A 25487-nucleotide genomic window follows, 5' to 3' on the forward strand; every position below is an offset into this window, starting at 1 on the left:
TCACCCAGGCTGGAGTGTAGTGGTGTGATCTCCACTCACTGCAACCTCTGCCTCCCAGGTTCAAGTCATTCTCCTGCCTCAGCCTCCCGAGTAGCTGGGACTACAGGCGCCTGCCACCATACCCAGCTAATTTTTGTATTTTTAGTAGAGACAGAGTTTCACCATGTTGGCCAGGCTGGTCTTGAACTCCTGACCTCAAGTAATCCGCCTGCTTTGGCCTCCCAAAGTGCTGAGATTACAGGCATGAGCCACCGCACCTGGCCAGGAGGATTGCCTGAGCTTGAGAGTTTGAAGCTGCAGTGAGCACCACTGCACTCCAGCCTGGTCAACAGAGCAAGACCCTGTCTCTGAAAAGAAAAAAGAGGGCTAGGCGCGGTGGTACACACCTGTAATCTCAGCATTTTCGAAGGCTGAGGCAGGTGGATCACTTGAGCTCAGAAGTTTGAGACCAGCCTGACCAACATGATGAAACGCTGTCACTACTAAAAATACAAAAAATTAGATGGGTGTGGTGGCACATGCCTGTAATCCTAGCTACTCAGGAGGCTGAGGCAGGAGAATCGCTTGAACCAGAAGGCGGAGGTTGCAGTGTGCCGAGATTGTGCCACTGCACTCCAGCTTGGGTGACAGAGTGAGACTCTGTCTCAAAAAAAAAAAAAAAGAGAAAAGAAAGAGAATTGCAGAAAAGTATAAAGAAAAAATAGCCATTATTCCCACCATCCAAAATGATTAACATTAATATTTTGGCATATTTGCATCCAGCTTTTTTTTATTTTTTTATTTTTTGAGACAGAGTCTCACTCTGTCACCCAGGCTGGAGTGCAGCGGTGCTATCTCGGCTCACCTGCAACCTCTGCCTCCCGAGTTCAAGCGATTCTCCTGCCTCAGCCTCCCGAGTAGCTAGGATTACAGGTGCCCGCACCACGCCTGGCTAATTTTTGTATTTTTAGTAGAGATGAGGTTTCACCATGTTGGCCAGGCTCGCCTTGAACTTCTGACATCAGGTGATTCACCTGCCTCGGCCTCCCAAAGTGCTGGGATCACAGGAGTGAGCCACCGTGCCCAGCCAGCTTCCAGCTTTTTTCATGGATATACTTTGGTTAAAATAACAGAAAATGTGGGCTGGACTCGGTTGCTCATGCCTGTAATCCCAGCACTTTGGGAGGCCGAGGCAGGTGGATCACGTGAGGTCAGAAGTGCAAGACTAGCCTGGCCAACATGGTGAAACTCCGTCTCTACTAAAAATATAAAAATTAGCAGGCTGTGGTGCAGGCGCCTGTAATCCTAGGTACTCGGGAGGCTGAGGCAGGAGAATTGTTTGAACCCAGGAGGTGGAGGTTGCAGTGAGCCAAGATTGCGCCACTGCACTCGAGCCTGGGTGACAGAGTGATACTGTGTCTCAAAAAAAAAAAAAAAAATCACAGAAAATGTTTATAGATATGCTAAAATAAATCCATGCTCAGCAGATGTGGCTAACATCTAGCCAAGCTGGACTTTGGCACTTGCCCCTGGGCAGGCCTGCCAGCATGCTGGGCACTGATCAGCCACGAGTCTTCAATATGAGGGTCTCTCCAGGGTGCCCTCTCTCCAGAGCCTTCATCTCAGGTAGAAACAGCAGCAGAGGCCCATGGATGTGAATCAGCTTGTCTGATCTGCAGTGAGGAGGGGTGTAAGGAGTCATCATTATGCAAAAAAGAATAATCGGAAACGGGAAAGGTAACAGGTCATTTCACTATGCTGGGGCACTGGAAAGAGAGGGCAGGGCCTGTATAAGGGCACCTGGGCCCAGGGGTGGAGTCAGCTCCACACAGACTTTCTCTCCCAGCGGGGCACTCACTTGCTCGCTTACTCAGTCACCTATTCAGGAGATACTCTCTGATGCCCGTCGTGTCCATTCCCTCTTGCTAGGTCTGGGAACATGGCAAACATGATGGCCTTTGGTCTAGTGAGTGCAGGCAGTCAGCGGGATCCATCCTGACAGGTGAGATGCACAGGGAAGAGCCACCTGCAGGTGTGCACTGGAGCCCAGGGTGGAAGCACGGCTGCTCGGGATTGAGGGAGGGGTCAGGGCAATTCGCTTGAGGAGAGGACATTTGCGCTGGGCTCTGGGAAAGGAGCATGCTTGCCAGGAGGACGAGACACGTTAAGGCATTTGAGGCAAAGCAGGTGATAAAAGGGCAAAAGGGTGCAGGGGCAGATGACCTGGGTCTCAATCCCAGCTCTGCTGTTTGTTGGTTCTGTGACCTTGGGGAAGTCATCTTCCTTCTCTGAGCCTCTGTTTCTTCAATGGGAACTAGAAGGAAGGTAATAACAGTTTTACTGTCAAGAAAACAGAAGAGCCCAGGCACGGTGGCGCACACCTGTAAGCCCAGCACTTTGGGAGACTGAGGCGGGAGGATGGCTTGAGCCTGGGAGGTCAAGGCTGCAGTGAGCTATGATTGCGCCACTGCACGCCAGCCTGGGTGACAGAGCGAGACCCTGCCTCTAAAAAGGAAAGAAGGAAAAAGAAAGAGAAAGAAAGCAGAAGGGTCCCGCAGGGGTGAGGTGGCAGCATGGCAGGACAAAGAGTGTGAGTGGCCCTGGGCAGAGGGAGCACACGCCCTGCATGCTGGAACGGGCACTGGGGCACCACAAGGGTTGGAGCATGGCTGGAAGGGAGGAGAGAGGTGGGAACTGACAAAGTGTGACTAGATTAGGATACTGCTTCTTCCATCACCTCCATCCCTCCCGCGGGGAGGCTGGAGAAGACGGGAGAGGAGGGAGAGCCCAGCTTGCAAACTCACCGCTTTGAGAGCCTGCACCTTCCTCTGAAGTGGCAAAGGAGATTTAAATTCAGGGCTGGATTCAGTCTGACTTCAGTCTCCTCATTCAATAAAGGAAAAACGTATTCTGTTGCTGACGGCCCCCCAAAGATACCTCCTGGGCCAGAGGCCTTCGGCTTCCTATTGAGGCAGGGCAGTGGCAGTGACGATGGTGGTGGCGGGAAGGGAGGGCACACCTGGAGCTTGCAGGAGGCAGGAGGGATAGGCTGAAGAGGGGGCCTCCGAGGTGCAGAGGCCAACCAAGCCAGGGGACCTCCAAGCAGGCTTTCCAAAAGTGGGTTCTCTGACTTGGGGAATGCAGGAATGGGGACTACAGAACTACCTGATACTCCCATTTTCTAGCTGGGCCTAGACCCAGGCTGTTCTAAGCCTCGTTTTCTCCAAATAGAAACAGAATATAATAAACACCTCAACTCTGGATGCCGAGATGCAAATGAAATGCTAGGGTTTGTGAGGCCCTGGGACCTGGCCCCTCTGCCACCTCACCGGCTCCCAGCTCCCGCTCAAGCACCGCCCTTCCTCTGCCTTGCTCATTCTGTGTCCTGTGTGGAATGCTCGTCTCCTGACTGGCTCCTTCCCACCACTCAGGCCTCACTCATCTCAAGGTTGCTTCCTCTGAAAGGCCACTCCTGTGTCAGGGTCCACAGACCCTCTGTGGCTTGTTACTTTTCCTTCACGGCCCTTGTTATGCTCTGAAATAATTGCTGACTTCCATATTGTCCCGCCGTCCTTTGGGAGGGCCAGTTTCCTGGAGACAGCAGCTCCATCTTGTCCACTGGGGTAGTCCTGATACCCAGGACAGTGCCCGGCTTGGGCAGAAGCACTTGGCCAGTTCTGCTGAATGAATGGTTTGGCACAAATGACCTTTTTAAAATTTTGAAATAATTTAAGATTCATAGGACATGGCGAAAACATTACAGAAGAGACCTGTGTGCCCTTAGTTTCCCTCAAATGGCAGCATCTTGTTTAAAACCAGAAAATTGGCATTGCTACAATTTACAGATTTTACTAGTTTTACATGCACCCATTTGTGTGTGTGTGTGTGGTGTGTGTGCATGTAGTTCTGTAAATTTCATCACGTGTGGATGTGTGTAGCCCACACTATGATCAAGATACAGATCTGTTCCATCAGTGCAAAGATCTTCCTCGTGCTGCCTCTTTAAAAGTCATGCCACCCTCTTCCCATCCCCTATTTTTTTTGAAACGGAGTCTTGCTCTGTACCCCAGGCTGGAGTGCAGTGGCGTAATCTTGGCTCACTGCAATCTCCATCTCCTGGGTACAAGTGATTCTCCTGCCTCAGCCTCCTGAGTAGCTGGGATTACAGGCATGTGCCACCACGCCCGGCCTTCATTTTTGTATTTTTAGTAGAGACAGGGTTTCATCATGTTGGCCAGGCTGGTCTTGGACCCCTGACTCAAATGATGCCCCTGCCTCGGCCTCCCGAAGTGCTGGGATTACAGGCGTGAGTCACCATGCCCGGCCAATAGTCACTATTTTTTATTTTAGTTCCTTTTAATAGGTGTGTAAAAAAATACCTCATTGTGGCTTAATTTACATTTCTCTAATGGCTAAAGGTGTGGAACATATTTTTGTGAGTACATGAAATATCTCTTTAGTAAAATGTATGTTGATCTTTTGGGTTTTTGAGAGTTTCTTTTTTCAGCTTTCTCAGGTTGAAATTGAGAGTTTTTTACATATCTGAGATGTGAGTTATTTGTCAGATATGTGGCTTGCAAATTAAAAGTTTTAATCTTGATAAAGTCCAGTTGTAGATTTTTCCTTGATGGATTGTTTTTGGTGTCATGTCTAAGACCTTTTCACCTAGTCCTAGATTTTCACCTGTTTTCTTCTGGAAGTCTTCTAGCTTTATGTTTTGCCTTTACATCTATGACCCATTTTAAGTTAATTTTTGTGTAAGTTGTGGGGTTCATTTGTTGAAAAGAATATCCTTCATTGAATGTTTAAAAATCAGTTGGCTATACTTGTGTGGGTGTATTCCTGGGTTCTTAATTCTGTTCCATTGATGTATTTCTCTATCCTCTGCAAATACCACATTGTCTTGACTAATACAGCGATGACAGTAAGTCTTAAAATCAGGTACAGTTGATCTTCCCACTTTTTTCTCCTCCTCCTCCTCCTTCTTCTTCCTCCTCCTCCCCCTCCTCCTCCTCCCCTCCCCCTCCCCCCTCCTCCCCTCCTCCTCTTCTTTTCTTCTTCTTCTTCTTCTTTTTTTTTTTTTTTTTTTGAGACAGGGTCTGCCTCTGTCACCAAGGCTGGAGTGCAGTGGCATGATCTTGGCTCACTGCAACCTCCACCACCTGGGCTCAAGTGATTCTCCTGCCTCAGCCTTCCAAGTAGCTGGGAGTACAGACATGTGCCACCACGCCCGGCTAATTTTTGTTTTGTTTGTAGAGATGGGATTTTGCCACATATGTTGCCCAGGCTGATCTCAAACTCCTGAGCTCAAGCAATCGGTCTCCCTTGGCCTCCCAAAGATTACAGGCAAAAGCCACCATGCTCAGCCTATTCTTGTTTCTTTTTTTGAGACAGAGTTTTGCTTTTGTTGCCCAGGCTGGAGTGCAATGGCGCGATCTCGGCTCACTGCAACCTCCACCTCCTGGGTTCAAGCAATTCTCCAGCCTCAGCCTTCTGAGTAGCTGGGATTACAGGCATCCGCTACCATGCCTGGCTAATGTTTGTATTTTTAGTAGAGATGTGGTTTCACCATGTTGGCCAGGCTGGTCTGGAACTCCTGACCTCAGGTGATCTGCCTGCCTCGGCCTCCCAAAGTGCTGGGATTACAGGCGTGAGCCACCACGCCCAACCTATTCTTGTTTTTCAAAATTGTTTTAGCTACTCTCATTCCTTTGCCTTTTCATATACATTTTAGAATAAGCACAAGCATGTCTGTATCTTTTTTTTCTTGTAGAGACAGTGTCTTGTTTGAGACCAGCCAGGCTGGCCTTAAGTGATTCTCCCACCTCTGCCTCCCAAAGTGTTGGCGTTAGGCCAGGCGTGGTGGCTCACACCCATAATCCCAGCACTTTGGGAGGCCAAGGCGGGTGGATCACTTGAGGCCAGGAGTTCATGCCCAGCCTGGACAACATAGAGAAACCCTGTCTCTACTAAAAGTATAAAAAGCTGGGCGTAGTGGCCCACACTTGTAGTCCCAACCATTTGGGAGGCTGAGGCACGAGAATCTCTTGAACCCAGAAGGCAGAGGTTGCAGTGAGCCAAGATCGCCGCCACTGCACTCCAGCCTGGGTGACAGAGCGAGAATCTGTCTCAGGAAAAAAAAAAAAAAAAACCACAAAAACAGAGCCAGGCATGGTGGCTCACACCTGTAATCCCAGCACTTTGGGAGGCCGAGGCAGGTGGATCACTTGAGGTTAGGAGTTCGAGAGCAGCCTGACCAACATGGTGAAACCCTCTCTCTACTAAAAACACAAAAAATTGGCTGGGTGCGGTGGCTCACGCCTGTAATCCCAGCACTTTGGGAGGCCAAGGTGGGCGGATCACCTGAGGTCAGGAGATCAAGACCATCCTGGCCAACATGGTGAAAACCCGCCTCTACTAAAAATACAAAAATTAGCTGGGCGTGGTGGCGTGTGCCTGTAATCCCAGCTACTTGGGAGGCTGAGGCACAAGAATCACTTGAACCCAGGAGGCGGAGGTTGCAGTGAGCTGAGATCACGCCACTGCACTCCGGCCTGGTGACAGAGCCAGACTCCGTCTCAAAAAAAAAACAAAAAAACAACAAACAAACAAAAATTAGCTGGGCGTAGTGGTGCGTGCCTGTAGTCCCAGCTACTCGGGCTGAGGCAGGAGACTCACTTGAACCCGGGTGGCGGAGGTTGCAGTGAGCTGAGATCGCGCCATTGCCCTACAGCCTGGGCGACAGAGCGAGAGTCCATCTCAAACAAACAAACAAGAACAACAACAACAAACCAAAGTGTTGGCATTACAGGCTCGAGCCACGGTGCCCAGCCTAGGCATGTCTGCATCTTAAAAAACAAACAACCACCCTTGCTGAGATTTTGATAGAAATTGCATTAAACCTACAGATTGATCTGCGAAGAAATGCCACCTTTACTATGTTGAATATTCCAATCCAAGTACACGGTTTGTTTCCATTTATGTAGGTCTGATTTCTTTCATTACAGTTTTGTAGTTTTCAGCATGCAAGTCTTGCACGTTTTGTTAGATTTAGTCCTAAGTATTTCATTTTTCTTTGAGCCATTAGAAATGTTATCATTGTGTTTTAAGCTGGGCGCGGTGGCTCACGCAGGTAATCCCAGCACTTTGGAAGGCTGAGGCAGGCAGATCACTTAAGTTCAGGAGTTCAAGACTAGCCTGGGAAACAACATGAGACCCCGTCTCTACAAAAAAATACAAAAACTTAGCAGGCCATGGTGGCACACGCCTCAGGTGATGCTAAATTAGAGGAGACTGAGCAAGGGCTACCAAGCGCTGCCGCGCAGAGAAAAGCAAGGTTGCAGGCTGGACGCGGTGGCTCACACCTGCAATCCCAGCACTTTGGGAGGCCAAGGTGGGAGGACTGCTTGAGCCCAAGAGTTCGAGACCAGCCTGGGCAGCATAGTGAGACTTGTTCCTATTGGAAAAACAAAACAAGTTGTGAAATGAGGGAGACCTTATTTCCTCATGACAGGCCTGAGCCCCCTGATCCAGTCAGGACAGAAGAACCTACCTTGAGATTCATTTTTATTTTTTGAGACACAGTCCGCTGTCACCTAGGCTGGAGTGCAGTGGTGCAATCTTGGCTCACTGCAACCTCCACCTCCTGGATTCAAGCAATTCTCCTACCTCAGCCTCCCGAGTAGCTGGGACTACAGGCTTGTGCCACCATACCTGGCTAATTTTTTTTTTTTTAGACGGAGTCTTGCTCTGTCACCCAGGCTGGAGTGCAGCGGCACGATCTTGGCTCACTGCAAGCTCCGCCTCCCAGGTTCACGCCATTCTCCTGCCTCAACCTCCCGAGTAGCTGGGACTACAGGTGCCCGCCACCACGCCCGGCTAATTTTTTTTTGTATTTTTAGTAGAGACAAGGTTTCACCGTGTTAGCCAGAACGGTCTCAATCTCCTGACCTCATGATCCGCCCACCTCAGCCTCCCAAAGTGCTGGGATTACAGGCATGAGCCACCGGCTGGGATTACATGCATGAGCCACTACGCCCGGCCTAATTTTTCTGTGTTTTTAGTAGAGAAGGGGTTTCACCATGTTGGGCAGGCTGGTATCGAACACCTCACCTTAAGTGATCCACCAGCCTCGGCCTCCCAAAGTGCTGGGATTACAGGTGTTAAGCCTCATCCCCATCCCACCTCCCACCAAAAAGACACGGGCAGCCAAAGGCAGCGTGGGCGGTCGTTGGTATACATCATACATTTATTAGTGAATATCCCTCTGAAATCAGCAACAATATTAAAAAAAATAATGATTGCACTACTTGGTCAAGCAGAACTAGCAACTTTCATTTTAAAAAAAGTACAAATCTGTTAAAAATTTCAATCAGTATACACATATATATAATACAACATACTAGTTATGTTAAATGCTACAAACCAATGTGAATCCCATGGAATGGAAAAAACCACACATTTAAGCTTTAAGAACCATTTTTTTCTCTATATATTAGCATTTTCTCAAATACATACATGGGAAAAATGAGGTAACTGTAAAATGTGCAAGGAACAGGGCCCCCAAAATTACATATATTTCTACATATATATGTAATTTTATATATATATAAAACCTTTCTAACACAGAACACAGGCGCTGGGCCCAGCCAGGGCTGGGGGAAGGTGCCCACTGTCATGCCTAGGCCAGAAGTTGGTAAATAAGAGAGTAAACAATGGCAAGCCCCCACCACAGGAAATCATTGGTAACATGGCATCTATAGCAAGGTCGGCAGATCACAAACATCCTAAGTAATTGTTGTATAAATCTTGTTTTTTAATGATGATCTTTTTAAATGCTGTGTTTCCCCCCCAATAGCTGCTTGTTGGAATCACTGCTGCAGCCGACACACAATCTGTGAGCCTGTTTCCGCCTGCCCCAGGAACTGTAAGGGGTTTGAAAACGTTTTGTTGGGGTCGGGAAGGGAGGGGTTGGAGAGGGTGGTTCTGTGTAAAACACGTGGGTTTTCAACACTGCTATAAATATAGAAACGTCACCTGGAGTTATATACAGTAAGACTTTGGGTTCTCCATGGGGGTGGGACCAGGCTGACGGGCCCCACGGCAGGCTGGGGCGGGAGGTGGGAGCCAGGGCCACTGCGAGGAGAACGAGGGTGGTTGGAGCATCCCTGAGGCAGCAGGCGCCAGGGGCTGCCTGCTAGGATGTGCCGGCCCCACACGCAGTTCGTTCAGGGCAGCAACCCCAGCTGGGTATAGGACAAGAAAGGATTGGGACCAGGGAAAGTGGGTGGGAAGCTCAGCCAGACCCTACAGCGGCCTCCTCCAGAACTTGGAGGACAGGGATCAGGCTGGGAAGGCCCCCTGGAGATGGGGGTCCACAGCCTTCCTGGTCCCCATCCTCCTGGGACTTCCTTGGAGGAGATTCGCCCAGGCAGGTGGGAGTTGGGCCCTGGCTGGAGGGAGAAATGCCCTGAAAAGCGTCGGGTCCCGGTAGGCTCTAGGGACGTGTGCAGTACAGTGCATGGCAGTTATCAGCTGAGCACAGACCCCCAACCCTGCCCCACGACCGCCGGCCGCCCAGCCCAGCCCGGCACACGCATGCATGCAGGCCGGCCAGCATGACCGTGCTCGGCCCCCTGGGCACTCGGTCCCAGTTGGTCCCTATACCCGCCCCTATTAAACCAAAAGAAAAAAGAAATTGTCTTAAATATCCACATCCCCAAATCCTACACGTGATTTTGGGCCAAATGAATGAACAAAAACTGCTGCTCCTCACGTTCATGCAAAACAACAGAGGGAGAGGAGATTGGGCACGGGTCTGGCTGCATCCCTGGGAGGGACAACCACCGGGAACACAGGGCTCCCTCTCCCCGTATGGCCCAAGCCCCTCAGGATACGTGTGCCCCAGCTCGGGATTAGGCTGGGACGCCCTCCAGCCTGAGGGTGGGGCTGGAATGTTGTTCCTGGGATGAGGGTCCCCTAGGGAACCAGACTCAGCCCTCACAGCAGCCAACACAGAGCCAGCTGCCTGAGTTCACTGTTCGGGGTCAAGGAGGGGGGATTCAGCCCTGGGGCTCAGGAAATGGCTCGTGACACCGTCTGTCTACGCACCTGGCAGTGCCACCTGGGCAGAGGGCACGCCATTTCAGAGCATGAGACCTTCTGACCCAGGATGGTGCTCTGTCTGCCCATCCTGGGGCCAAGGATCTCCACCGGCCCCACTGAGGGAGCGGACCCCTGGCACTCAGTGCCAGCAGGAAAAGGAGGGACCTGAGGGTGCACAGGAGGGAGACCCGATCAGGGACACTCAGGCAGCTCCGTGGCGGGCGGGCAGGCAGGCAGACTAGGGAGGGAGTCTTTGGAGCTTGGCAAATGCAGGGGCTTATTGCAGGGACTCCTCGCTGGGCTGACCCTGGCACCAGCTCTGGAAATGCAGGCAGGAGCGAAGGGGCAGGCCTGGGCCACTCCCTCCCCATCCTCCCTGGGCCCCACCCACAAGTTTCCAGAGCTTCAGGCAGGGTTCTCCCGGGCAGGCGGCTGCGTGGCCTCACTCAGCCTCCCTGGGCACCTCGGAGGCGTCGGCCCGGCAGATGGGACACGTCCGGTTGGCCTGTGGGAACATGCACGTCAGGCGTTGCTCTCACCAGCCCCAACCCACCACATCTGTGCAGCCACCTGGGGGGACTTGGTCCGCTGGAGCCAGAACTTCCGAGATGATGACAAGGACAAGGAGGGAAACAGCCCAGGCCAGCCCATCCCCCCGTCACTGCATGAGGAATACCCAGGAGCAGACCTGGGCAGTGTTACCTTCAACCACTTGTCAACACACTTGGTGTGGAACTCATGGTTGCAGGGGAGGACTCGGAGCAGCTGCCGCGCCTCGAAGTCACTGAAGCAGACCACACACCTGTGGAGGGGCGCGGAGCGTCACCTCCACGCTGAGGGCCATGGGAAGGCTCAGTGGAGTGTGACTCCCCTGAGAGGGGCGTCCCACGGCAGCCAGCTGTGTTCAGAGGGGTGGGAGGTGGGGCAGGGTACTCACAGCGTCTGCTCCGACTGATGGCTGTCCGGGTTAAAGCGGTACGACGGGAGCTGCTCTATGTCTGCTTTGGTGAGACCCCGGGGCTTGGCATCTCCCAGCCGCTCGGCCAGGTTCAGGAGGGCCTGCATGCGGGCAGGAGACGGGGTCAGCGGCGCCCAGGGCTGCAGGTCTCCCAAACCCCACCTCCCAGCATGGGGCTCCATGGGACCTCATAGTTCTCCATCTCCACATCATCCACGTCCAGGTCCAGGCTGATGGTGGGCCCCATTGCTGTTGGTGACATTGGCAGCATCGAGCTAGAGAGAGACAAGTGTGGGGGCCCAGGGTCAAGGTCAGGAGTGGGGCACACAGAGCCGCTCTCCTGACTCCCTCCTTGCAAACAGAGCCCAGAACGTTGCAGCGGGGAAGGGAGCCCAGCTGGCGTGCCTGTCAGGTTAAGGGGGGAACGCCAGGTGGCTTCAGAGGCCCTGGGGCCCCTGGAGCTGTGTTTAGGTCTAACCACTGGAGGTTCCAGGAGAACAGGGCATCAGGGACCTGGGGCGGATGTGCGGATACTTACAGGAAGTAGGGCAGGAAGCTGGGGTAGTAGGGTGGTGGGGGTGGGGGTGGGGGCGGCGGGGGCAGTGGCTGCTGCAGGCGGTATCTCTGGGTGCTCAGTCTCCGTGGCATCATGTGAGAATATGGCTGCAAGAGGGGCCAGGTGCAGGTCAGCCCAGCAGGCCTGCCTCCCAGCCGCCCCGGAGCCCAGGTGCAAGTCAGCCCGGTGGGCCTGCCTCCCAGCCGCCCCGGAGCCCAGGTGCAAGTCAGCCCGGTGGGCCTGCCTCCCAGCCGCCCCGGAGCCCACGTGCAAGTCAGCCCGGTGGGCCTGCCTCCCAGCCGCCCCGGAGCCCAGGTGCAAGTCAGCCCAGCAGGCCTGCCTCCCAGCCGCCCCGGAGCCCACGTGCAAGTCAGCCCGGTGGGCCTGCCTCCCAGCTGCCTGGGAGCCCAGATGCAGGTCGGCCCAGCGGGTCTGCCTCCCAGCTGCCCTGGAGCCCAGGTGGGGGTCGGGGTGGCACTCACCACACCAAAGGACAGCTCCTGGTGCAGCGGATCGTGGGGCAGGTAGTGCAGGGGCACCGACGGGGAAAGGGCTGGGCCAGGCGCAGAGGTGGAGTAGGTGAAGCTGCCCAGGGAGGGCTGGTCCCCACGCAGGTCCACGTCGTTGTCGAGCCGCTGGAGGGGCTGGAAGAACCAGCGCCGGGTCAGCAAGTCAGTGAGACGAGGCTGTCCTCACCCTGCCTCCCCCCACGCCATCTCCCTCCAGCATCGGACCCATGCCGACTCACCATCCGAGGGTGCTGGGTCTGCAGAGACACAAACTGCCCCAGGGGCGCCATGTGGGTGGGCTGGGGGGGTGGGGCCGGTGGTGGGGGGTGCAGGATGTAGTGGTCACTGGAGATGAGGTGGGGGTAGGCCTGATAGGGCACAGGCAGCTGCTGCATGGTGCACGCCTGGATAAGCTGCCAAGAGAGGGGGCAGGGGGCTGAGAACGTTCTCCTGGGCTCTGGGCCAGGTCTACGCCATGCCACCCAGCAAAAGGCCCCCACCGGGCACACACCCAGCAGCTCCAGGGTCTGTATAAGAAACCCTGTGGAAGGCCCATCCCTGTCCTAGGCCACCCAGGCAGGACACTCCACTGTTAAGGCCCACAGCCTCAACTCCTGGGCCTCTGCCAAGCTGTGAGGCAGGTACAGGGGTACTGGAAGGTTCCTGAACCTTGAAACACTCTATTACCAAATGTGAACACGCGTATGCTTTCCTGGGGAGGCCAGGCAGGCGCTCTGACAGCCTGGATGGCTGGATAGCTCAGCCCAGTTCAGGGCTGCCCTGGGCCCGCTGAGCCGCTGGCCTGTGCCTGGGGCTTGCAGCTGGTGGAGGAGGAGCTAGAAACACTCACTCACCGGGGGCGGGAGGCAGCAGAGGGGGTAATGCTGCCCACTGAACATCACGGAGCATGCTGGGAGCTGCTGGGCACTGCAGCCAGGGATGTGCTGGCCTGTAGGCAAGGGGAAGCCTTGGGTCGTCACTGTGGTGACCGTGTAGGACAGAGGGACAGGTCCCTGGTGCACCTGTGGGTGGAGAGAACGCCGGGAAAGTATGAAAAGGAAGCTGACCGCGAGGGCTACTCTCAGGAGAAATCATCCTGCCACATCCAGCTGCCGGCTCCCTTCCCTTCTCCACGGCGGCCTACCTCAGTGCAGACCAGACTGTGCCTCTACTCCCAGGCCCCCGGGGCAGAGAAAGCCCCGTGGGAATCTAGCTCTGCTAGTCACCCAGTGTGGCCCTTTCCCCGGGCCTCAGTTTACCTACCTGTAAAGCAGGGCCAATAATGCCTCCCTGGAACGTGAAATGAAGCAAGCTAGGTGAAATCTAGGCCTTGCTGCCTCTGCCTCTCAGACTGGCTCACAGGGCCAGGGGCACAGGGGATGGGGTTCTGCCTACCTGCTCGTGGAGATCAACCATGAACGGGCTCTGCTGGGTGGCTGGGTGCAGCATTCGGGGGCTCCCGCCGGCAGGAGCCGAGGCTCGGCGCTCCTCTACGGGGAGGTGTGGAGGTCGGGACGGCGGCTGCTGGGAGGGTAAGCGCTCATCCCGGGCAGGCGGGCTGGCCAGGGGGCCCTCGAGGCCAGGGCTGCACCACAGAGAGGAGGCCCCGATAGGACTGAGGGGGGCCACTCGTGCACAGAGCAGGGAGAGAAGCCAGGGTGACTCCCCCCATGGGGAGGGAAGGCAGCTCAGGGCCCTGCGCCCCACCCCTGCTGGCCCCCATGCCCCAGCACCAGGACTGGGAGGCTCCTTCCTACCTTCCCCAGAGCTGGCCCGGGGTGCTGCCAGGTCCCGCAGAGAATCGCCGCTGGCCCACGGGGGCGGAGGGTGGCCACCTAGTCACTGCCAGAGCCCATGGTCGCATCGGGGGGGCAGGGGGGTGGAGGGGCTGGGCCGGGACTCACAACCCTAGGAGGCAAGGAGACAAGAAGACTGAGGCACCTGGCCAACATGGTGAAACCTCGTCTCTGCTAAAAATACAAAAACTAGCCAGGCATGGTGGTGGACACCTGTAATCCCAGCTACTTGGGAGGCTGAGGCATGAGAATCGCTTGAACCCGGGAGGCGGAGGTTGCAGTGAGCTGAGCTGAGATCGCACCACTGCACTCTAGTCTGGTGACAGAGCGAGACTCCCGTCTCAAAAAAAAAAAAAAAAAAAGAAAGAAACTGAGGCACAGAGAAGTCCAGGCGCTTGTGCCATGAGGGGTCAGGAGACAGAACCAAACCTCTGCAGTGTGACCCCAGGGACCAATGGTGTTCAGCCGTGCCCCTCCTCCGAGCCCTGGGGTCCAGTGCTGACACGCCAGGACAGCTCAGCCTGCCAGCACCCAGGCCTCACCCTCCTGCTGTGTGAAATGGGACCCAGTCCCCCTCAGTTGCGGAGCTCAGCGAGCTGGCCAGCGTGCTTCCAAGCCAGTGGGTTCCTGGTAGGCTCCTGCTGGGCGGGGTCTCAGGGCACCCTGTCTTGGAAAGGGGCTTAGGGCCAGACCTTTCTCTGCCTTACACCAGGGGCTACAACTTGGCCTCCAGGCGGCAGCTGGGGGTTCCTGAGGAGGGTCCACATCCTCCCTTCCCTCTGGCTGGTTCCAGCAGGGATTCCAAACAGGCCTGGGACCCAGTTCTCCTCTTACTGGTGCCAGGCAAGAGGTTCTAACCCGCTCCTGCCCTCGGGGGCTTCCAGTCCAAAGCAAGACACTATTCTTTCTTTCCTTAACCTGCTCCCACTGTGCCTATCCACGAGTGACTTCATCTACCTTTCAAGGAATGTATAGCTGGCCCATTTTACGGGGGAGGAAACTGAGGCTCAGCAAGAAGAAACTTGCCCAAAGCCCCACCGTAAAGTGTTAAAGCTGGGAGGTGGGCCAAAGAAAGCCTCTCCCTGTGCTCTGCTGCCGACGGAGAGGACCAGCCCCAGGCTTCATGGGAGGTGATGAAGGAAGTCAGCCTGGGGAGACTGTGGAGTCTGGCATGCAGCCAGGCCCTTGCTCTGGGGCCCCCAACCCAGCCCTCAAAGTGGGAGGTGGTGCCTGCTGAGAAAAAAAGGAAGGAAGAACCCGAGAGAGGAAGCTGAATAGGAATGGGTTGGGGCAGGGTCTCCTGCCTCCGGTCAGAGATGAGGGTCCAGGTGGAGGATGTCGAGGGACCTGGCTCAACCTCAGGGTTCCGCTCAACTCAAAGTTGGGACGAGGCCCTGGCAGGAAAAGCTCTAGAACCTGTCAGGCCCTGCAAAGCTGAAGGATGCGTCCAACAGGACCAGATCTTTGTTGTTCCTGCCACAGGGAGGCTCGTTCCATCCCTTCCCCATCTAACAAAACTCCTATGCATCCTTGATACCCAGCTTTCAATGTCACCTCCCTGTTGACACAGCCAGGGAGCCAGTGTAACTGTCAGCTCAACACCTAGTTCCTTCCTGCCAACAGCGGCAAGAACCATTTCCTCTGTGCTGCACTTCACAAGCCTGGGCCCTGCTTCTCAAAAGGAGCCCGCATGGGAGACCGGGGCCCGACCAGCAGAGGGTGTGGGCAGGGCCAGGGACCACCTTGTGTCCAGCTCAGGGCAGGCCTGATGTGAGAAATGTGCACGGAACAGAGCCAATCACACAGGTCCAAGGTCACCCAGTCTGGCAGCAATGCCAACAACTGACAGTTGGGAGATTACAAAACACCTGGCTTCTCATGGCAAGCCTGGTCCCACTTGTTTCTGCCTGGCCCCCTCACTGGGAGCGAGAGCTTTCCCTCCAGGTCACCCAGGCCCAACCTCTGCCTGCCCATCATCGGGGAATGGGTTTGTGACCCCTGGCCTGGGCCAAGTGCACACCCTGACAGGCATGTCTACACACACAGCCTCCCGAACTCCTGCCAACAAACCAGCCAAGCAAACAACGGCCAAGGGAGACTCAGGAAATCCCCAAATAACTGAAACAGCAGATGCCTGGCCCATCCCAGTCCTCCTGGACCAGACACTTTGGAGGGATGGGGAACAAGGGCACCTAGATGTTTAACAAATTCCCCAGAAGTTGTCACAGCACAGCTAGATTTGGGAATCTCTACCCTAGCTAACCTCAGAAAGCTGGGGAGCCCATAGTTCTGCTGGTGCAGAACAGTCACCATAATAACCATGCTGTTTCCCCGGCGCCAACTTGGTGAGTCCTCCCAGCAACACTGGCAGGTCAGGACACCAAGGCTCAGAGAGGTGAGGTCCAAGGCCAGTCAGCTGGAATCGTGAGTGCGCAGGTGCATGACCTAAGCAGTCTGGCCATAAAGCACCCATGACTAGCCACCAAGCCAGCAGCCTTGACTGCTCCTCTTATGTCAGGATGTCTTGCAGATGGCTGAGTAGTGCCAGGCCCAAGGCACTCCTGCAGAGGCCCAGGCCTGTGGGTGTCTGCTCTGTGGCCAGCCCCCTACAAAGGCACCCACTCCCCAGGGCAGGGAAGGTGGTAAGGAGCTGTGAAAGCAAGCCAGGAGACAGAAGGGCCTCCAGCCGTGGGTAAGAATGTCAGCCCTCACAGACTCACACATGACAGTGACTTCTAGCGAGATTCTTGCCTACAGACCGTGGGCAAGGGCTTCCCCTCCCGAGCCTCAGTATCTTCATCTGTAAAATGGGAACAGCCCAATAACTACCTCCCAGTTTCCCATCAAGGACTGCTCCAAGGCAACAGCAGAAGCAACTTGTAAAGTTTGAACTTAGCTTGGGTGTGAATGATCATTATTAGCGAATACGACACGCTGACCTCCATTTCCAACCTCAAGCAGAGCTTGAAGGGTGCCACTTCCGGGGCAGCAGGCAGATATGCCACTCTAGGGGAATACCTCAGCTGGTAAGAGTGGATCCTGGTTCTTTAAGCCCTGCCAGGAACAGGGGTGGCGTAGAAGGGTTACACCCACTTCATGGCTGAGAAAACTGGAGCCGAGAGAAAGGAAGTAAGTTACTCTAGGCCACAAGACCAGAGAGAACGGAATTGGTCCTAGTTGGCCTCCTAGGCCCAAACTCCCCCAAGCCATAACTCCTGTGGCATCAGTAGCTGGAGGAAATCACCTAATCCCGAGTCTCCAAGCCATACAGGAGGCTGGGAGAGCACTCTCTTTCAGGCACCCATCTTTAGCTCTGTAGTACAGAGAAGCAAGCAAGGCCCAGAGTTGGAGCTAGCAACTTGCTCAAGGTCAAATAGCAAGGGTGGCCAGGTGGCCTCCCCTAACAACTGCTCTGCCCGTCCACATCTCCATGCTGTCCTATCACGGAGCTCTGTGTGAACGGGTCTTGAGAGTCCCGTCGCTGAGCCCCGTCCGCCCCAGGCACGCAATGCATTTTGCAGTTAACATAACCCCCCACACCCACCCATGAGAGCCGGCCAACCCCTTAAGTCCAGTGCCCCAAGCACCTACCCTGACCTTGGTCTAAGAGCCCCAGGGATCTGTTTGCAGGAAGAGACACTCCCTTTTGCAGATAAAAACAAAGTCAGACCCTGGGGGCATGAGCAGACTCAGCCAGGAAGAGAAGCCCCCCTTCCTACTTCCCCACACCCCACCCGAAACAAGCAGGCTCTGCCCAGCGCAAGCAGAGCTTCCCAACGTGTGGTGCCTGGAGGCCGCTGAGGGCCGGACCACCAGACTAGGAGAGAAGACTCCCTAGTGACCTTGGTCAAGGAAATCCCTTTGCTTCTGAGCGCCTCAGTTGGCACAGCTATAAAATGGGGGTGGAAATCTTTCCTTCCCACAGCGCCCAAATAAAACCAGAAGAGTCCAGAAGAAACCAGGTGGTCACACTAGTGGGGGAGGAAACCAGGGTCCTGGGGAAGGGGGGGCTCCCCAACGCGGGCCAAGTGCACGCTGTGGGGCTCTGGGAAGCTTACCCAGCCACCCCTCCCCAGGCATAGTGCTGGGGGGCCGAGGCGCGGACACAGCCCCGAGAGGGGCCTCCCTCGTCCGCTTCCTACTCTTTTGCGCCGCTCTCGGAGGGACACCGGGGGCGGGAGGCGAGACTGCAGCGCAGGGGCCAGAACGCTGCGACTTTAAGAGCCGAGGATCCCGGACCATGTGCTCGGCGTGAGACAAAAGCAACAACAAAGGAAGTGGCGGCCGCAGGGGGAGGGGGGCGGCTCCTTCCTCTCCAACCGCAGCGCTCAGCTGCAGGAGAGGGGAGATACGGCCCGGCCACGGGGGGCCTTGGGGGGGGTTCCTGATCCCTGGGGTCTCGCTGCCCGCAGTCTGGACCGCCCGTGATTAACCCCTACGGAGCCACCTAGATCACGGCCCCCATTCCCAGGGGAGGGGAACAGAAGGTCCATGGGTGGGGGAATAGGAAGTTGGGGGCCCTGGCACCGACTCACCTTTGGCCGCCCGGCCACACGTTGACTCCTTTGTTCCCGATCTAGGACGGCCAAACTGGGCAGGGGGCGGGGGAGGGGGGGGGTGCCTGTCTGGATCCTTTAAGAGCTCCCGCCCTGCGGAACAATGTGCTCCCCTCCCCACCCCCGGGTCCGGGGGCAGCCCGGCTCCTTCCGGGGCCTCTCTCTTTGTTGTCCGCCCGACGGCGTCTGCCTCGCGAGGCCCACGCGCGATCAGTCTCTCTCGGCCCAGGCCCTCAGGGAGCGGGAGGCGGCGCAGGACGCAGCTGGGTCTGCGCGGCAGCCGGCGGCTGGCCCTTTAAGAACTGTCCGCGGCGGCAGCGGAATGTAACAAACCCCACATTTGATTCACAACATTCGAAGCGGCGGGGTCGCGCGCCAGACGGGAGGGGGCTCGCGGGGGCGCGCCGGGAGGCTCCGGCAAACAGTAGCCCGCTGCAAGCCCGCAGGGGCCCCGCCCCGCGCCGGGAGCTCCGCCCTGAGAGCCAATCACTCGCCGCGACCACGCACGTGACTAGTGGGCCACCATCTTGAATTTTTTTAACCTCCTCCTCGCCCCCACCTTCGCACTTAAAGGGACCGCAGCCATAGTCAAAAGCAAGGGGCGGGGCCGCATATCCTGACATAAAGATGGGGAGACCCCAGGGTGGGCAAAACCGATCGGCTGCAACTCGAACTTGCTATGCAAACTCGCTAACTACTCGCGCCTCTGAGGCTCAGTTTCCCTGCCGAAGAAATGGGTCCCGCCAGGAGAACCGGCAGTACGGACTTACTGTGTCATGGTCCCCTCCTCGGGGACAGGGTGCCGCCTGAGATACTGAAGTGCAATGGGTCTGACCTCTGACGGGGCGAGAGCGGCCCAAGTGGTTATGCTGGCTCTAACAACCCTGGGCCGGCCACCTTCCCGGAGATGACGTCACCCCCAAGAGCTGCAGCACCGCGCTGACATCATGGCCCGGCCGCCCCACTTCTCCTTGTTTATACTACACGGCGTCTTTAAAAAGCTGGTACGGCCCAGATTGCCCAACAGACCAATGGCGGACCACCCATGCAAACGAGCTAACGTCTGCCGGGCAAGGAGATTGGCCCTGCTCGCGCTGACGTCACAGAGACATTTAACCGCCACGCCCCCAGCGTGGCGGTGGAGGAAGAGAGGCGGGGAACAGGTTGTAGTTTAAAGCAAAAGTGCAGGCGCTGGGCGCTCTAGCTGCTAGGCTGGGCTTGAGAGTTTGGTGTCCCCGCGGAGACCTCCCTAGCCAGGGAAACTGGGAACTAAGCCCAGTGAAGCGTCTATACTTTAGTTTTCTATTCCTCTCAGCAGCTATGAGACGGAGGGATTACTATAGCCAGTTCATTTTACAGATGGGGAAAGTGAGGGCCTTCCCTTACTCCAGATCACACAACTAGAAGTGTGGCGGAGCAGGAGTGTGAACCTAATCCAAAGCCGAGCCTCGTTCTCCTTTGCCTCGAAGCCCACCCACCCGGGCAAAATTTATACAAAATGGGGTATTACCTCCACCACAATTATATAAGCAGAAAATCAGTAATTTGCTAAATATCCAAGAGCTGGAACAGGTCGAATAATGAATATTGGGTGCATGCATATAATCAATAACGACTCTTGGGCAGTTACCACAAAGAGGCAGCTGGAGGCGACACGGGGCTATCTCCAAGACAGCCATAAACAAGGCGCCAATGCAAAATGTTAACATCTGTTAACCTGTGTGGTGGGCCATGGGGCAGGGGGATGGGGGGCTCATTTTCTATGCTGCTTTGGTATATTTCGTAATCCTAAATTTTATATAAAAATTGAAACCAAGATGCTGAACAGTTCTAACAGTATGTATCAGGTTTCTTTAATTGGACATATGCCACATCTGCATATATTTCTGGAAGGGTATACAGGAAACTGATTAACAATTGTCCTTAGGGAGAACTGGAAGGGAGAAGTTGGGTCAGTAGGATAGACTATTGTATATATTGCACATTAGCTCTTTTTTAAAAACCCTATGCATTATAACCCACTGAAATTTTTAAAGAAAGCTATTATAAAGACTATGTCTTAAGTCTTTTAAGCCAGAAAACCTTTTGTTCCCTTAGAATCAGAAACCCCCTTTCAGCTTGGGGAACAGACATGTTTATGGCAATGTTTAGACCAGCAATGATCGTATCACTGTGCAACACAATGACTGAAGATGGAACTGAGCCGGCTGTCGGCAGATCTCTAAGCAACACAAGAGCAAGGTCATGATGCAGTGCTATCGATGCTCCCTGGAACGCCAAACTCTATCCATCACAGTTAAAAATTACATGTGCATGAGAATAAGTGTGGCTATACAAGGTTATGTCTTTACCCAGTTCCTTATCATCAACTGTTCCTTTACCTCCAATGTCTCCTTCAACCTTTTGTTTTCCCCACCACATAAAAGCAATTTGAAAACCCTCCCCATGGCCGGGCACGGTGGCTCACGCCTGTAATCCCAGCACTTTGGGAGATCCAGGCGGGCAGATCACAAGGTCAGGAGTTTGAGACCAGCCTGACCAACATGGTGAAACCCTGTCTCCACAAAAAATACAAAAATTAGCTGGGCATGGTGGCATGCACTTGTAGTCCCAGCCACTTAGGAGGCTGAGGCAGGAGAATCGCTTGAACATGGGAAGTGGAGGTTGCAGTGAGCTGAGATTGCGCCACTGCACTCCAGCCTGGGTGACAGAGCGAGACTCCGTCTTAAAAAAAAAAAAACCCTCCCCACATTTGAAGGTACCTACATATTTGTTAGATTACTGCCTGCCTGTCCTTATGGATAGGGCCTACAGTGGCTCCCTACTGCCAACTGCATGGAAGCCTGGTTTTGGGGCTGCACTTAACAAGCTCTTCCTGCCCGAACTTTTCAGGCTCGCCTCTCCCCAGTCCCTCCTCTCACACCATGGTGGTGCTTCGTCTGGCTTTCTCTCCCTGCCACCTTCCTGCCTTTGCTCAGGCTAGACTGCCTGCCTGGGATGCCCTCTCTTTTCCTTTCTGCCAATCCATTTCACTTTTCGGCGGTTTGAAGCTCTGTTCCTAACTCACCTTTTACAGGAAGCTGCTTGTGACATCTCCAGCTGTGCTGAATCCCCCATTTTTGAACGCAGAGCTAGATGCACCCCAGCCTTTACCTCATGCCATTTAATTTGCACACAGTCCTGTCACAATCGCTGTGTGTCTCACTCAGTAATTCCCCTCCTGGCTGAAGGGGTTTGGCTTTTTTAAGTGCGCAGACGTCCAGCCTTCACTGGCATATACGGGTACCCCAGCCTCATTTTACAGATGAGGACCTGAGGCTCAAAGAGGTGAAGTGACTTGTCTGAGGCCACACAGTAAGACCACCTTTTCCATCCCCACCCCAGGAAAGCGACCCTCCAGCCACAATCTAATCCTGTACTTTTAAGCCACCAAGCTTCTGACTGTGGCATTCTCCCTGCTTAATATGTCCTCAATATCCCCTACTTACTGGGCAAAATCCTGCTTATGCTTTGGGACTAGCTCAAAGACCACTCCCTTGGATGGTGCCTTCCCTGCCCTGCCGGCTTGCGCTGGCTTCCTCAGTGTTAGGATTACCATCACATTGCATCATGAGAGCAGAAGACCATCTCCATGTGACTGCTGCCCCTGCTCCCAGCAGGGCCCACAACACCCAGTCCAGGACCTGGCTCACGCTGGGTGGCGGATGCCCAGGAATGGGGCTCTGGATCTGCCTCTTCTCCTGCAGGACCAGGAAACCGCTGCCCTGTCCCTGCCCCAGGAAACCCTCAGTAAATCCCCAGTCATTTGAGTTTCCCCTCAGCGCCAGAGACCAATAACACATCTCCACCAACCTGAAAAACCTTCACGCGTGGATGTGAAATCACTCTGGAGCAAGTGGGAAGGGAGGCACAATTTTCCCAGAATTTTCCAGTTTTTCAAATGAAGCCAGAAATCTGAAATCTGAACTTTTCTTCGAATCCCTCCTCAGGGTCACTGATGGATCTTAGGCTTTGGAACCCTGCTGTGGGGACGTGGCCTGCACACCTACTGTGCGAGCCTTGTTCTCCCCGTACCCCAAGCCCTCAAAGGGAGACGTCGTTTACTTTCATCGCACAGAGGAAAGCGGTTCAGAGCCATGGAGGGGCAGACCCTCGCCACAGAGCCCAGAAGTGTGAAACCTCAGATGGGAGTGGCCCACCTCTGCTCTGGCATCTGCTGTGAGGTTCTATGGGGGAAATGGGGGTCCTAGAGTCTTCTACAAGCTCTGGGCAAGTCCTATCCTGATCCTCTCCTCATCATGTTCTAAGAGCTGGCCACCAGCATTGGCCCCATTTTACAGATGAGGTGAGAGGTGACAGGACTCACCCAGTGTCATGCAGCCATCAAGGGGCAAACCTGGGATCCCATTCTCATCTCACATTAAGTGTGGTTTGTGAACCATGAATGCCAACACAGGGGCCCCGTGGTTGCTGAACAACCAAATGCAGATGTCCCCAGGGAAAGGGGAGAACACAGAGGCTCAGGGACTAGTGGATGGCTCCAGATCAGAGTGGACAGGAGCCTGAGAGGGATCCAAAGTTTGATCCTTCCAGCACAAAGCACTTGATGCCACATTCCGGCTTCCTCCCCCAGGCCTCCTCTGCAGTGGGGAAGGGCTTGGGCAAGCAGAGGCAGGAAGAGGAGGGCGTGGCCATGTTTCCTGCTGGGGCCCTGCCCGACTAGGGTTCTCACCTACCCCAGAGCCTGGACAACTGGCTGCCTCTCTCCCTCGGAGTCAGAAAGTACCCCATTTCTTTCTTCCAAGGCCCCTCAAACCTCCCTCCAAAGAGGCAGGGCCCAGTCACCTTCCCAGGATGGAGCTGGCGGGACACAGAGGCTGGGGTACCAGCCAGGGACACAGCACAGCCTGGCAGAGCCAGCTCAGGGTTCACACCTCCCAGACACCAGAGCATCAGAGCAGGGCCCAGAGCCTCACACACCAGGGAGGGAGTAGACAAAGCCCTGCTAAGTCCTTTCCACTCAGGGCTGGCCTCAACAGCCCTGAGCCCCGAGTTCTGGCTCCCTTAAGTGGCTGTGCGTGCAGATGGCGGTGAGGGCAGGGCGTCTGGAGAGGTGCTCCCCGTCTGGGGCTCTGGCCCTCAGCACTCGGGCTCCAGTTTTGAGACCTTGGGTGAGTTCTATGGCTCCTCTCCTTCTCAATCTCTCGTCTGTAAAATCGGGTGATCGATAATAACTAGGCCACTGGGGCGAAAGGACTACACTGAGGGGTGAGACAGAGCCCCTGAGGCCAGCCTGCCCTGCCTCTGGTTAGCCTGTGACCTTGGGGAAGTCAGTAAGGTCTGTGAGGCTGTTTGTCCAGGTGTGAAGCTGGGTGAAAGCATCCTTCTCGGTGGGTCAACAGTGGTTCTGTGTGTGTGTGCCGGCCAACTTTTCGGGTCTGGGTCCGCATTTGGAGGTGTGCGCTGTGTGGGTGTGGCGTGGGGGCGTTCCCCTTTCTGACTCCTCCTCCCCAACCCGCAGTTCTCACTGCTGGAACCCCCAGGTTCTGCAAAGGGGGCAGGAACCGTCACATTGTTCAGTGATGAAAACCGAGGGCTGCAGGAGTGCGGACCCTGGAAGATCGAGGAAGACAAGTCTACCCGAATCCCCCACTGTCCCTCCATCTTACTCGTCCTCCTTCCCTCACTTCCCAGCCCCCGGCACCAGCTCGACTCGAGCTTAGTGGCTTTCAGGCAACGGAAGCTGTGTGACCTTGGGCAAGACACGGACTCTCTCCGGACCCCGCAGCGTTCCGACATCCAGAATGCAGTAAGGACGGCGCTGAAGTGCAGCGGTCTGTTCCCCGGACCTGCAGCCGCTCCAGGGCAGGGCTTAGGCCGCTCTGGCTCCCCGGCGGCCGGCACAGGGGGCGTCGGGGAAATGTTTAGGACGGACATGGCGAGGCCAAAGAACTGCAGCGCGTCTCCGGCTCGCGGTGCCGGACGCCTGGGTCCCAGCCGCAGCTGGGACTCGCCGGGGGTGGCGGTCGGGACGTGCGCGGGGCGCAGGGCACGCGGGGGCTCGGAGTTCCCCGGGGCTCCCCGAGTTGGGGCGTTTGGACCTAGCGGACGGGGAGAAGAGCGGCGCAGCTCCCGCTGCCGGGCCCGGGACTGCGAGCTCCCGCCGTGCGGGCGCCGGCAGAGGCCTGGCGGGAAGACCCCGCGTGCGTTCCTCCGCCGGCCCGCGGCCGCCCCCTACCGCCGCGTGCTCGCCGGCCCTGCGCCCGGGGCGCTCGGCGCAGGGTCCGGGCCCGGCGTTACCTGGGGCCGCGGCGGGGCTCCACCCCCACCCGGCGGCCGGCGCGTCGCTCCCGCTGCAGCCCAGGCTCGCGGTGCGGCTGCGGCCCGCGCGCCGCCTGCCGCGGCCCCTCTCCGGCCCGGTGCAGGGGAACCGTCCGCGGACCTCACCACCCGGGCGCGCGGGGCCCACACCGGCTGCGCAGCTTCCAGGACCCCCGCCCCGGCCCCGCGCGAATGGAGCTGCCTGGACCGCACCACGCGTGCGGGGCGGAGCCTCTTTCGGCCGCGCCCGCCCAGCGTCAGTCGGCCAGGGGTGCGTAAGGGCGCGGCGCCTGGGGCCTGGCAGCCTCCGTGACCTTGGAGGAGTGACTTCGTTTTCTCGCCTGTGAAAAGGGAAACAATACGACCCCATGGTCGTTCAGAGAATCTTCGCTTCCCGGAGAGTGTGTCCCCTCCCCCAGCCCCGGTGGGCGCGGAGGTAGCTAATAGCTGTCTGGGGTCAGCAGATCTTGGTTCCCCGCTTTGGGCCATTCTCTGACCCTCACTTTTCAAGTCTGCGGAATGGAATTGATGATACCTTCTTCAGGAGGAGGATGGGAGACTCCAGTGACAACAAAACGAGGCGGCCGGCCGAGACATCGGGAGGGATTACGTTCCCCGCAACCCCTGTGTCCCCATCGCTAGAGCCAACCTGGACCAGGGCATGGCCGGCACCAGCTCAGGCCGCGGGTCCCGGCGCCGGAGGGTAGC

General features: G+C 56.0%; 2 protein-coding genes and 1 long non-coding RNA gene across 20 annotated transcripts in view, besides 8 other annotated features; 2 read left to right on the top strand and 1 right to left on the bottom strand.

Moving 5' to 3' along the window:
* Positions 1-8209: 8209 nt before the first annotated feature.
* Positions 8210-25011, bottom strand: RNF44 (ring finger protein 44). Of its 18 annotated transcripts, none has more exons than XM_047416956.1 (11): positions 24901-25011; positions 13864-14014; positions 13502-13691; positions 12961-13128; positions 12346-12378; positions 12080-12241; positions 11580-11704; positions 11229-11316; positions 11021-11142; positions 10786-10885; positions 8210-10588 (listed from the first exon to the last, which is right to left on the bottom strand). In XM_047416956.1, exons 2-11 carry the CDS (start codon positions 13968-13970, stop codon positions 10526-10528), a joined length of 1158 nt encoding a protein of 385 aa, XP_047272912.1. In that variant the 5' UTR covers positions 13971-14014; positions 24901-25011; the 3' UTR covers positions 8210-10525. The 18 variants fall into 18 exon arrangements, with proteins under 18 accessions (XP_047272912.1, XP_047272908.1, XP_047272905.1 ...); XM_047416952.1 differs by having other exon boundaries at positions 12346-12510; XM_047416949.1 differs by having other exon boundaries at positions 12346-12519.
* Positions 15228-15447: an enhancer, noted in NCBI's record as "active region_23687". NCBI's record gives its function as "activates an Ori minimal core promoter by ATAC-STARR-seq in GM12878 lymphoblastoid cells {active_cell/tissue: GM12878}" and the evidence as "EXISTENCE:reporter gene assay evidence [ECO:0000049][PMID:35858748]".
* Positions 15618-16287: an enhancer, noted in NCBI's record as "H3K4me1 hESC enhancer chr5:175961121-175961790 (GRCh37/hg19 assembly coordinates)". NCBI's record gives its function as "activates a minimal SCP1, AML or CMV promoter by ChIP-STARR-seq in primed H9 embryonic stem cells {active_cell/tissue: H9 hESC(primed)}" and the evidence as "EXISTENCE:reporter gene assay evidence [ECO:0000049][PMID:30033119]".
* Positions 18394-18583: a silencer, noted in NCBI's record as "silent region_16654". NCBI's record gives its function as "represses an Ori minimal core promoter by ATAC-STARR-seq in GM12878 lymphoblastoid cells {active_cell/tissue: GM12878}" and the evidence as "EXISTENCE:reporter gene assay evidence [ECO:0000049][PMID:35858748]".
* Positions 18664-18923: a silencer, noted in NCBI's record as "silent region_16655". NCBI's record gives its function as "represses an Ori minimal core promoter by ATAC-STARR-seq in GM12878 lymphoblastoid cells {active_cell/tissue: GM12878}" and the evidence as "EXISTENCE:reporter gene assay evidence [ECO:0000049][PMID:35858748]".
* Positions 19034-19473: an enhancer, noted in NCBI's record as "active region_23688". NCBI's record gives its function as "activates an Ori minimal core promoter by ATAC-STARR-seq in GM12878 lymphoblastoid cells {active_cell/tissue: GM12878}" and the evidence as "EXISTENCE:reporter gene assay evidence [ECO:0000049][PMID:35858748]".
* LOC124901143 (uncharacterized) lies at positions 19427-20795 on the top strand. Its single transcript, XR_007059071.1, has 2 exons — positions 19427-19621; positions 20556-20795. It is a non-coding gene; the product is annotated as an uncharacterized LOC124901143 (long non-coding RNA).
* Positions 19714-19893: an enhancer, noted in NCBI's record as "active region_23689". NCBI's record gives its function as "activates an Ori minimal core promoter by ATAC-STARR-seq in GM12878 lymphoblastoid cells {active_cell/tissue: GM12878}" and the evidence as "EXISTENCE:reporter gene assay evidence [ECO:0000049][PMID:35858748]".
* Positions 23482-24088: an enhancer, noted in NCBI's record as "H3K4me1 hESC enhancer chr5:175968985-175969591 (GRCh37/hg19 assembly coordinates)". NCBI's record gives its function as "activates a minimal SCP1, AML or CMV promoter by ChIP-STARR-seq in primed H9 embryonic stem cells {active_cell/tissue: H9 hESC(primed)}" and the evidence as "EXISTENCE:reporter gene assay evidence [ECO:0000049][PMID:30033119]".
* CDHR2 (cadherin related family member 2) overlaps positions 24009-25487 on the top strand; it is a 53464-nt gene continuing 51985 nt past the window's right edge. The window contains exon 1 of the mRNA NM_001171976.2: positions 24009-24267. The gene's annotated coding sequence lies outside the window, so the exon portion shown is untranslated. The remainder of the gene's footprint in view (positions 24268-25487) is intronic.
* Positions 24479-25068: a silencer, noted in NCBI's record as "silent region_16656". NCBI's record gives its function as "represses an Ori minimal core promoter by ATAC-STARR-seq in GM12878 lymphoblastoid cells {active_cell/tissue: GM12878}" and the evidence as "EXISTENCE:reporter gene assay evidence [ECO:0000049][PMID:35858748]".

Source organism: Homo sapiens, chromosome 5 (assembly GCF_000001405.40).
Source record: "Homo sapiens chromosome 5, GRCh38.p14 Primary Assembly".
NCBI classification, from domain to species: domain Eukaryota; kingdom Metazoa; phylum Chordata; class Mammalia; order Primates; family Hominidae; genus Homo; species Homo sapiens.